Below are 12,946 nucleotides of genomic sequence, written 5' to 3' on the forward strand. Positions count from 1 at the left end.
CCAGAGAGGCAAGCCTTGGATGGCAGGCTGCAGACGCTAATCTAATCGCACAGCCGTCCTGCAAATGCAACTGGATGTAGAAGGTGAATGGTCTGTGTTACTTCTCACCATGGAGCTGTTTTGTTTCTATACTCTGTCTTCTTTCAGAAAGATTTGTAGTGGCTCATAATAGGAGACACAAGTACACAAAGACCATTAAAATGGAAGTAGAAATGTCTTTTTTTTTTTTTTTTTTTTTGAGATAGGGTCTCACTCTGTCGCCCAGGCTGGAGTGCAGTAGTGCAGTCATGGCTCTCTGCAGCTTTGACCCTCCTGGGCTCAGGTGTTGCTCCCACCTCAGTCTCCCGAGTAGACTACAGGTGCACACCACCATGTCTGGCTAATTTTTGTATTTTTTGTAGAGATGGGGTTTTGCCATGTTGCCCAGGCTGGTCTCAAACTCTTGGACTCAAGCAATCTGCTCACCTTCACCTCCCGAAGTGCTGGGATTATAGGCTAAGCCACTGCCACTGGCCTGACAGCTCTTATGTTTATGAAAGAGAAACATCCAGATATTTCCCTCCGACAAGTTGTGATTGGGAAGTAATTCTCGTGATCTGTTGGGAGTTTCAGTGAATTTTCAGTTCCTGGGAGAAGCTAATCATGATGATAAAGATAAGAGTAAAGGGCACAGTTGATGGGGCACGTGCTGTGCGCCAGGCACTGTGTTAAATGCTCACGGGGTGACCTCACCCACCCCTCACAGTGATCATGCACAGCAGGTTAGCTGTTCTCGTCCCCACGTCACCCATGAGAGAACTAGGGAGCCTCAGGGAAGGTGAGTCTTCCCTAGGTGAAGTAGCGCAGAACAAGGCCTTGATGCTACGAAGAAGTGGCCAAATAATGACAGTTATAAACCAAGGCACCTGGCAGTGATCTAGATGCTTCATATGCTTTTCCCTGATCCTCATGACAGTACCACAAGGTGGATATGATCTCTCTTTTATAGATGAGGAAACTGAGAAGAGGAGTCACTTGCAGAGAGCCACAGCTAGCAACGGGTATGTCTAGCTGTAGCTGGGATTTAAACCCAAGTCCGCCTCTTCTCACATAATTTTGTTCTTATTGCCCAGTCTCTTATTGTGTATCCCACAGAAGTGACCAAAGGGAAGAAGAGAGGAAAAGCAGGAGAAACTCCTCTGTTTTCCAAAATACAAAGTGAATATTTTCCTTGAGAGACAAAAAGCTCACCTTTCCAAGCATGCGTCAAGGAGAGAGCTTCCCAGTGGGGCAGAGTCAGCTCCTGAAGATGGTGTTGGTGAACTGGTTCCCATTCTTTAGAGAGGTAGAGCTATAGGCCTGGTGTGGCTGTGCCCAAAGGGTCAGAGGGGAACCTGGAAGAGTCACTTAAAGCTCACTTTTCGCTTTGCTAAGGTGGAAGAATAATGGCACCTACCACACTGGCTTTCTATAAAGATTAGATGAGTTCATACCTGCAAGTAACAGAACAGTACCCTGCGTGTGGTCAGCACACTCACTGTAGAGGGCGAGTCTTCCCTGCCATCTGGGCCAATCCATTGTTGTGTTGCTATAAAGGAATACCCGAGCCTGGGTAATTTATGAAGAAAAGAGATTTACTTGGCTCACAGTTCTGCAGGCTGTACGAGCATGGCTCCTCCCTCTGCTGAGGGCCCCAGGAAGCTTCTAATCATGGTGGAAGACAAAGGGATAGCAGACTTGTCACATGGTAAAGAGCAAGAGAGAGAAGGGAGAGGTTTCAGATGCTTAAACAACCAGATCTCATGTGAACTGAGCGAGAGTGCACTCATCCCCAAGGGAATGGCGTTAAGCCATTCATGAGGGATCTGCCCCCACAATCCAGTCACCTCCTACCAGGCCCCACCTCCAACATTTGCAACCACATTTCAATATGAGATTTGGAGGGGACAAACATCCAGACTGTATCACCATCCTTACTATGCCCTGTGCCCATTCCAGGGCAAGCTCCCTCCCTTTGGGAGGACCATGAAGCCAACTGGCCACGTGGAACAGGAGTGAAGATTCCTGGATGCTGCCGCCCTCCCGAGGCCCCATTCCTGTCTATAGTATCCTGAATGGAGGTCAGGCTGGGACCCGACCCCTCTTTTCAGTGTCATGTTCTCTGCTAATAATGATAACCACTGCTGTCGAGTACTTGCCATGTGCTGGATGCTCTGCAAAGCACTTGACATATGTAGTCTCATTTAATCCCCACATCAATATTATGGAATGGGAATAATTGTCTTCAATGCATAGTTGAAAATATTAAAGCTTATAGAGGTCTAGCAATTGAGCCAAGGTCACAATTGCTAATAAGTCATGGAGCCTAGACTTCCACCCAAGTCCTTTTGACTCCAAGGCTTTGACCATTTTCTCATTCCTGAAAGGGTGATAGAGTCCACGAGGACAGTGGGATGTGAGATAGAAGAGAAAAGGGGATGACGATGGGACAGCAGTGTGGCTCTGCTGAGCTCACATGTTTCACAGCAAGCAATTCTATGTGAATGACTTTATAATCGGAAGGATTTTGGCTACAGGATCTTGTGCAAACTTCTTAACCTTTAGAGACTCAACTTTCTTATCTGTAAAATGAGGCTAATAATACCTCCCTTTCAGTATTCTTGTGATAATTTAAGTAAATTATGTACAGAATGCTTGTTGAGCCTGTCTCAAAATTGGTGCTCAACAAATCTCGGTCCTCAGTGCTGCACCCGACGGCACTTCCCTTCAAAGAGGGGAAGGGAGGATTATGTAGATAAAAACGGGTAAAATGCTTCTTCTGGTAACACATGACGACAGTCAATGAATCTTAGCTCCCTCCTTTCCCCTCTCCATCTTCAGGGTGGACTGTTCCAGGCATGCAACATGGGTAGCAGAGCTCAGCCCTCTCAAGAAAATCCTCCCTTTGCATCCTATTTTTAGGTTTGGTAATTGCACCAATGTTGAATAAAGTTGTCATCGTTATGACAGTTTTGTTCTCCTACATAAGAGATGAATGCAGCCAGCAAAATGCTTTGACAACAATTAATTGCACTCACGCTGTGTCGTTACACAGATCCATTTCCATAACCCTTTCTCTTCCTGGACTTGGGCTGTTCTGTTTTCATCTGTGCTCTGGCAAATGACTGTTTGGGCAGAGCCTTCTCCAGGCCTCGGAGCTGCCGGTCCAAGCTGGACATCTTGGGGCTGCCTCTGTTCCTGAGGCTCAGGCAGAAGGCACTACTCACTGTGGGCGTTTGAGGGGGCATCCTGGGACATGCCCTGTGATTTGGCTCATCCCAGGCAAAGGAGAGGAGGAGCTGACCAAGGGAGTAAGCCTTCAGGACACAACCACACATTCTAGGGAAAGGTGGGGGCAAGTTGTAGCTTTTTTTTTTTTTTTTTTTTTTTTTAGACCGAGTCTCACTCTGTTGCCCAGGCTGGAGTGCAGGGGCACGATCTCAGCTCACTGCAACCTCCGCCTCCTGGTTTCAAGTGATTCTCCTGCCTCAGCCTCCTGAGTAGCTGGGATTACAGGTGCCCGCCCCTATGCCCAGCTAATTTTTGTATGTTTAGTAGAGATGGGGTTTCACCATGTTGGCCAGGCTGGTCTCAAACTCCTGACCTCAGGTGATCCACCCGCCTCAGCCTCCAAAAGTGCTGGGATTACAGGCATGAGCCACCATGCCCGGCCAAGTTTTAGCTCTGTCCAGTTTAGCAGGGAGCAGGAGCAGGCTTTCCTTGTGGGGAGCGGCACATGATGGAAGCATTTCACACAGCTGCATTTGCAGAGGGAGACCTCAGTGCCCACACGTCGGATTGGGTTTCAGTTGCTGCCCATGATCCAGAAATAGAAATAGAAACAGGGTCAAAACAGCCACAACAAAATAGCATTTTCCAGGCTTTGCTCCCACCCACCCACTCTGTGGTCATTTCTGCCCCTGTTAAATTCTGCCTAGATAGTATTGGATACGCCAAGGGTGCTATGAACTTGACCTCTTAGCTACCACATGATGCCCACATTTCTTCCCAGCCAGTGGGGTGCTAAAAGTGACTTGTACAGGCTTATGAGAGCCAACTGTTTAGTTTTTTAGGGATTTTACTAAATAGTTGTTAAACAGAGCCATTATTAAAACTGAAGTTATGTAAACTTACAATTAAATAAATAATTTTAAAAACAAAGGTAATACCTAGTCAAACTCACCACTTCCCAATTATTTTACTACATTTTACTTGAGGTTATGTCTATTGTATCTGTGGCAGAAATGCTATGTGACGGTATGCTGCTGTGTATCTCTTCCCAGCTTTGCATTCAGTGATGACCCATTGATTGCTTGAAATTGGCCATGGTGAGAGTATTTACTCTCTGTGGATGTCCCCCTCCCTCGCCATTCTTAGGGCAATTCCTCTACATACACGGCCTCCTCTAGGCAGGCCAGTCTCCTCACTGGACCCCAGAGTACCTCAAGGGGCAGACACATACCTTTTGGCTTAAAGAAGCAACAGTGCGAAAAGGTGGTTTTATGTCCCAGAGTTTGCCTGCCTGACAGCCAGCAGAGAGACTTAAATGCCACCACAGTGTTTCTGTTCAAACATCAAACAGGAATCTGACAGTAAACCTTGTCCTTTTCAAAAATGCTTGACACATCAGAAAAACAAGATCACCTTTCTGGCGGTTTTATATTTCTGATCTTCTAGAGCAGAGGAAGTAGGGAAAATGAGAGCCCCACTAAATACTAGTCCCCACATCAAATTATAATGAAACCCATCAATCAGGCCCCCATGCCTGGGACAGTCTGTTTTGATAGCTGCAATCAAAACAGCAGGGCAGCACTAGAGGCTTTGGGGGAAGTTTTGTAAGTGGCTTCCTAGGACAGATCTTGTGATGCTGTTCTTATTTTCCCAGAGCTAAGTTGAAAATAAGTGTGATGTCGAGGCCACTTCCCAGACTCTATAAGCCCTGTCAGTGAAATGGAGATGCGCAGCAGATGAGCCAGATCCCCAAAGGATGGTTAGGAACCCTGCACCGTAGTGGACCAGTCTTTAAAATCAGCAGTTCTATGTTCTTCAGTAATATTTTATGCTTGCATTCAAAACACCTATGCCCTGAGGTGTAGCGCATATCTAATGGTGTTACAGGTACCAGTGGAAAAATTAGTCATAAGGACCCAACGGCAGCTCTAGCATAACCACTTCTAGGTGAAAATAAGAAAATGAGGCCAGATCACATTTTTCATTTGAGACACATGCCCCCCAGGTCTGCATTACTGGGAAACCCCAACATAGGTTTCAGCTTCACAGTTTGAGGAAGCCCAGCCCATGCCAGGTGCAGACGTTCAGCCCCAGTTGGATAATGATACTTTCTAGGGAGCTAAGTAGTGGTAACCCAACAGCACTGGTTCACGGGAGGTGGAAGGCCATCCTGAATGAGTACCTTGGGGCTTTGCAGTTGACGCTGTCCTCTTCACTGCTTATTATCAGTGACTTTCAGATGAAGGCAATTGATCAATTCTGGGCTAACACAAAACTGAAAAGGATTCAATCAGGACAGGAAGAGATTTTTTTAAAAAATATCATAAGCTCAGACTCACTAGAGGAAATACAATAGGCATACGTGAAAGGTCTTAAGATTGGGCTCAAAAAAGTCAGCAGCAAAATATAGAAGGGGTGAAGGCAACCATGTGCTTTAGGAGGGACATTGAGAAATCTGAGCCTGCCCATAGCAGGGCATCCAGAGTCAATTTCACAGGACTGGGGAGAGAAGTCTAAAAGACTGTCTTCAAAGACATGAAGGCTCCAAGAGGGTAGAAACCAGGACTTGGGTGAAAACAGCACCCCCACCCCACCCCTTGCTCTTCAGATGGTGTTGGTTGAAGCAGTTGCTTCCCAATGAGGGTTCTGGAGAAGTGTTAGGCGAAAGGACCGTTCTGTGGTCAAATGTGTGTGGAACTGCTGGGCTAAACACAAGCAGTCCTTTTCAAATCTGTCTCAGTGGGACCTTTGGTCAGAAGCACCAAGAGGGGCACTGTTTGCAAAGCACTTTTCTGTGAAAGGCAGCAGTGGAGACTCAGCAGAGAGAGGCATGAGGCAGAGCTTTCTGGGGTTGATGGAAGACTGAGGGATGAGTGTGTACCATGGGATGGAATGGTTCCAAATATGGAACCAACTATCAGAAGTACTGTAAAGAAATAGGACTTGCCCCAAATTGAGCAAAACACAATGACAAACCACATAATTGAAATGCAGAAAAAATAGGGCCGAATTCAGGATACCATCAATTATAAGCCCTTTGAGGACAGGTATTTATTTAGATAGCTTCGGAGCTGGCTTTGTCCTTACTAGGCCCATAGTAAATATATGTTGAATTAAATTGAATTTTCGATGATTAGAACCAGCAGAAGGCAGAGATAACCTCATAGTAAATAGGAATCAGTATCCCAGGGAGGAATGTTAAGGCAACGTGGCAGGCCCATGCAGGCTGTGTCCTGGCAATATCCTGTCGGGTTCAGTAGCAGTAAAACAGGAAAGGGCATGCGAAGGGCATCAGCAGATTGTCCTTTACCACTGCAGAGATCACTCCAGACTAAGGTGGAGTGGTTTCTTCTTCTGAATTCTTCTCTTTCTTCTCTGAATCACTAAAACATATGACTCCTAGGCCTAAAGGAACAAAGACAACTGGCTCTCCGGAGTCGCAGAGTGATTATTGTTAAACTCCATCACCTTTTGTACATGTAACAATTTAGAAAACATTAACCAAAAACAAAAACGAAAACAAAAACCCAAACAAACAAAAAAGCCAGGCCTTTGCATATTATTTATTGGCATGAGAGAGTCTGGCTTATGGCCAGGGGAGCAGCAGTTGGGGAGTGACACACAGGAAACCCGCCCACAGTGCCCCGGGTGTCTAAGAGATGGTCTGAAGTCCTTCATTGGCTCAGCTCTTGTCCAATGTTTCTGGCAGAAACGGCTCAGAGGCTCTTGCTCTGCCCACAAACCCTTGGAAGTTCTCCAAGCTAGGCCTGTGAAAGGTGAGGGAGGGGATGAGAGCAGAGCATAAGGACAGCAAGAATGACTTTAAACTAATCACCTCTACAAGGTTTCCCTTTTTTCATATCCAACATTTCTGAGGGTTGGTCGGCCTGGTCCCAAGGGAAGCAGGGGAGAAGGCAGGATTGAGCTGGTTGGGTAATGTCATCTGGCCTGGGCTCAGTCAAGGCACTACATGCCCTCCTCCTCCTGTACCTGGAAGAGGCCAGAAGCCTGGGAATGGGAGTGGTGGTGCTGAATGATGGGTGATCCCAGGGGTATACAGTTGACTCCAGGGTCCAAGGCTATTTGGGAATGATTGGGAACTCTGGGGTTCATAATCTGCTGCCTTCCTGAGCCTGGAGTTCCAACTGGGGCTGTGATGTTAATCAGGTGATCAGTGAAATCTTACCTCATGGAATGAGCTCTGGTCTTGGAATGAGAAAGACCTAAACTGGAATTCTGACTCTACTTCTTGTCAGTTGGGTGATGTTAGTCAAATTTCTCAACCTTTCTGAGTCCCAGTTTACTCAACTACAATATGGGAGCGCTAATGCATAATTTTGTGAGGATGATGTGAATACTAAATAAGCTTATTTACATGAAATCAATTTGCAGTATAGAAAATGCAATACCGATATGAGGGGTTGTTACTTTTATAGTCACAGAAGGAGTTGACTTTTCTTCTGCTTTAAGAATATGCTTAAAATATGGCTGTATCTGAGAATATTGGATGAAAGTGCTTTAGAAATTGGCTTTGGGACAAGAGGGAAAGAAATTGCTGCCCAGCTCTTGTTTTTTTTTTTTTTTTTTTTTTTTTTCAGAAGCCGTCCTTGGCTTGTTAGAGGGTCCTAGACCTCTGTGAAGGTTGTTGTCTAGTTGGAGTACAAGGCATCTTTGACACTACAGTTTTGAACCCCCCAGGTCAATTTTTTACTCTGTGTCTAAAAATACTAATTTTAAAACGAGAACCTTAGCAATCTTGATAGCTTTTCACTGAGAAAGATATTTCTAGAGTGAACTCCGTTGGGCCAGTTTAATTCCTTGGATAATTTTTAATATAGAATTAATAAACTATTTCCAAATTTTTCCATTTTCATTTTTCTAAAATTATTTCCCTGGGATCGATTATTTTCTGTGTAAATTTTATGACAAAGATTAAATTTATTAGTTTTTGAAAGTTGTAGCTTCTGCCATTGTGAGTTTTCTATGAAACCACCAATTTACCAAATTCAAATCCCCAAAGTTAAATTTTGCAACACCACATTCTTTTATCAATGTCTAGTCATGAACACATTTTATTATGGGATGTTTTAGCCACTGGAACTCTTATTTGAACGTTTTACTAATTCCATTCTCTCTCCATATCAAATCGTGCAGTTTCCATTGTTATCAATCAGAAGCAGTTCTTCAGTACATTCATCTGTCACACATTTCATCATGGGCTACTTTAAACATTGTCACATTTATTTTATTTTGATTATTTCTACCAGAAATATCATTGGATTCAGGAATGCTATTTCATTTTTACTTCTTAACTCATGTGTGTTACTGTTATTAGCAGTTGTCTTTGGACATTTCTTGATGGCTCCTTTGGCTGGGATTGGCTGTGTCTTTGGCCAATAATCCAGTTCTGTTGTGCCCTTTCCGGTAGAGAAAGCGAAGAGGTCAGAGTCAATGTAAGGGAGGGTTGGAATGTCCAAATTTGATTGGAGCTTTAAAATAAGATGAGAAACATGGTCGGATTTGGCTTTAGAAAGTCTGTTCTAGCTTTCAAGTGGAGAATGAATTGGAGAAAACAAAAATCATTGGGAGATGGTTAGAAATTACTGCAGAAACCCAGGTGAGAGAAAAATTGCAAACATTTATGTAGCACTTACTGTGTGACAAGCATTAGTTTAAGCATTTTGTAAATTTTAACTCATTCTATCCTGATGACAAATCTGAGGAGGTAAGTATTATAACTATTTCCATTTTACAAATGAAGAAACTGAAGTACAGAAAGATTCAGTACATGTCCAAGATTACAAACTAGCAAGGAGGTAGGTGTGGATCTAGAATTCAAACCTGGGTAGAAGGACTTCAGGGACTGAGCCCTTGACCCCTCCAGTGGTTTTCTCATCCGAGAAAGAAAAGGGTGGCAAGGAGGAGGTTGTTGAGAAATGCTATGAGAAAATGGAAATTTTGAGGCTTGGTGAAAAGGGTACGTTTCTGGCTTTGTATGTGGTAGGTGGTAGGGCTATTCCTTGAGAAAGGGAAGTTGTTTAGGGGAAAGATAATGTGTTCGGTTTTGAAGCTGAATAGGAGAATTCTAGCTATAGCGTACTAAAGAGACTTACTCTGTTTTTGATGTTTGACTACTGACACCTTTCAAGCCCCATAGCTCCCCCTCTTCCTTCTGTCTCCCATGTGAGCAAACCAATAGGAAAGTTTTATGCTCCCTCCCTTGACACCAAGGAAGTTCAAAACCTGGCCTACATTGGGAACCCTCACCTTGGACCCAACCCCTAGCAACAGCAAAAGCCAGAGCCAATCACCCCTCCTTGCTCTCTCAAGCCATTTTTGGACATGCTTGGGAGCCTGCCCTGCTCTCCCTGAAAGCCTCATTATGTGAGTGATGAGTCTGTTCATCCTCTCTTGGTGCATGTGTGGCATTAGTCAGTTCTCAACGTCCAAACCAAATTTTGGGTCAGAAGTTGGTACAACCTTCATCCCACACAGCAGATTGGGAAATGTAGTCTAGGTGGGTTTTGGTGAGCATGTAGCTGTCCCCACCATGGATATGTTGAGTTTAAATGTCAATTGGTCATTGAGATAAGATGTTTAGAAGATTGTAGAATGGAAGGGTCTGAGGAAAGAGTTTTGAGCTGGAGCTGTACATTTATAAATCACCTTCTAGGTGATGAAAGGAGAAAAAGGAAAGAAAAGGAAAAAGAATAATTCTGTTCCTAATGTCCTTTTTGTTTAATTTTCATGTTCAAAGATTGCTTTCCAGAACCTCACCAGCAGTAGTTGGTGTTGGGGGGTGGGCGGTGGGGATTGAGTAGGAAGATGTTGAAACCATTTCAGAATGAGCAGCATTTATACACACACCACACACACACACACACACACACACACACACACACACACACCACACACACACACACACACACACACACACACACACCACACACACACACACACACACACACACACACACCACACACACACACACCACACACACACACACACACACACACACACACACACACCGGCACGCACTTTAAAAAATGATTTGGCCCTTCCAGTTTCCTGCTCTTTTAAGCCTCCAGTGAGAGGAAAAAGGAAGTAGCGGGCTAATTGGAGAGAACTGTGAGGGAAAGGCAGAGTTGGTAAAAGAGAGAGGAAATCAGTTTGCTATTTTAAGGGTATGAAAGTCTTCCCATAAGCCATTATGTCTTCTTGCCAGTTAATTTCATTTTGAATGAAGTTGAAAGGTAATCTGATAGGTTTTGTTATTTCTGCAAATAATTCATAAATTCAGATGAACTCAGAACTCTGGCATAGAAGGAGGATTTCAAAGTCTGACAAGGTGGTAATTACCAGGACTGCACTGGGACTGACAGCTGGTATTGGAATGATCTCCTTTTTATTGAAGTCCTCGATTAGGAAAAAAGACAGTTAAATTCAGTTAATCTGAAGCAGCCAGCAGACCTGAATTGCTTCAGTGCAGACCAGCAGAGCTGATGTGTGTGGAGATGGCAGAGTCTTTGTGGCTGATTTAGAACGTCATACATAGAAGACTCTCACATTTTACTAATGACAAGAGCAGTTCAGATATGCAGAGAAGAATGGCATGTTCACTTCCAGAATCCTGGAGCAGCCTTAGAAAGGGAATCGGAATACATTTATTGTACTAGCAAGCTCATTTGTAGTAGCTCCCACTTTGCTCAGGCTGGAGACATATTGATGCCTTAGTTGGTTACATTCATTCTGCAATCTCTCCCCTCTCCGTTGCTCCCCTAGCAGAAAGTGAAGACAACATAAATATTTGTCTGATGAACCAGAAGAAAGATGGGCTTTTGTAAGCAATGAAGTATTGCTTTATGGTAAGGATACTTAAGCAGATAGAATATCTTCTGCAACCTGAAATATGTGTAACCGTATGAAAAAAACACAGTTTATGTAAGTTTAAGTTTCAAGATGACTATACGGGTATTGGATAGAGTGCATATATTAGATAATTAGTACCTGCAAGTCTTTCATCTGTTTATTCATTCATATATTATTTATCCGCTCATTCATTCATTTATGCCATACAAGTTTATAAAACCTCTGCCATGTACAACATAAAATGCATAAAGATGAATAAGATGAGGCTTCTTCTCTCAGTCCTCCAGGAGTTCACACCTGTCCATTTCTCTGCCTCTGTCTCCATCCATCCATTCATCCATCCATATGCCCACTGGGACCTCAGGGCCCTTAGAGGTTTAACCAAACTTCAAATCCTCACTATCATAGCTCTGTGAAACTTCGAAGTCCTCCTTATGGTTTCTCTGTGTCCCTGAGGCTTACTCCTTTTCCTGCTCTCTGCCTCTGTGCTTTAGGTCTTCCTGGCGGTCTTTATTCCAGTACATCAGCATGGACACAAAGGCTTGCCCCTTCACTGGTTTCCACCTCTCCAATTGTGTCTCAACTATTTTGTGAATTTAATAATTTTACTCAAGATGATAGGGAGGGGCAAAGGGAAGAGTCGTATCATAGAGCCTTTGCTCTTCACCCCTTCTCCCTTTATCTCATTCTTGTGTTTCTTCTTCAGATGCACAAATAAATGTGACTTCCAAACTCCCTCCCTCCATATATCCTATACTCTTTTTTTTTTTTCTGAGACACAGTCTCGCTCTGTTGCCCAGGCTGGAGTGCAGTGGCACAATCTCAGCTCACTGCAACTTCTGCGTCCCAGGTTTGAGAAATTCTCCTGCCTCAGCCTCCTGAGTAGCTGGGATTACACGCATGCACCACCACACCTGGCTAACTTTTGTATTTTTAGTAGAGATGGGGTTTCGCCATGTTGGTCAGGCTGGTGTCGAACTCCTGACCTCGTGATCCGAGGCATTAGCCACCACGCCAGGTCTATATCCTACAATCTTATACCAAAGTAAATCATGCCCTGGAGGCTCAACTTTTACCCCAAGTCAGTTGGTCAAAAAACCATTTTCTGAAAAACTTTTCCCCAAAAGGATTTCTAGAAAAGAAAATTTCTTGCCCCCAGTACCGTATATTATTTATCCATGTACTTCTATCTTAAAACCCCAGTCTTAAGACATAGCATGGATAGATGAATGAATGTGAAGGAAAATAGGTGGTTGACAGGCAGGTGAATAAGCAGTAAGCTTTGAAACTAGTGTCAACTTCTGTATATCTCAGAAAAAGAAAATGAAAAACTTTTCTTTTTCTCAGAAAAAGAAAATGAAAATGAAAAACTTTAACAATTATAGTTCTGTTCGCATTTCTTATTAAACTAATGTTTTTAAAGTAAGTATCTTGGCCTGAAAACATAGACAGCAAGGTACAGAAATGCACTCAATTCTGTTTAAACAAAAGAGCATGTATCAGTTATCTACTTCTATGTAATAAATTACTACAAAACCTTGTTGCATAAAAAAACAAGCATTCATTATCTCATAGTTTCTGAGGACCAGGAAACTGGGAGATGCGTTGCTGGTGGTTCTGGCTCAGGAGTCTTCTTGAGGTTGGAGTCCAGATGTTGGCCAGGACTGCAGCCATCTGAAGCCTTGATCAGGGTGGAGGATTTGCTTCTGAAGGGCTCCCTCATAGGGCTGTTAGCAGGAGGCCTCAGTTCCTCATAATGTTGGCCCCTTTTCACAACATGGTACATGGCTTCTACCAGAGTGATTAGAGAGAGAGGGAGAAGTCAATG

This window comes from Homo sapiens, chromosome 1 (assembly GCF_000001405.40).
Source record: "Homo sapiens chromosome 1, GRCh38.p14 Primary Assembly".
Taxonomy (NCBI): Eukaryota; Metazoa; Chordata; class Mammalia; order Primates; family Hominidae; genus Homo; species Homo sapiens.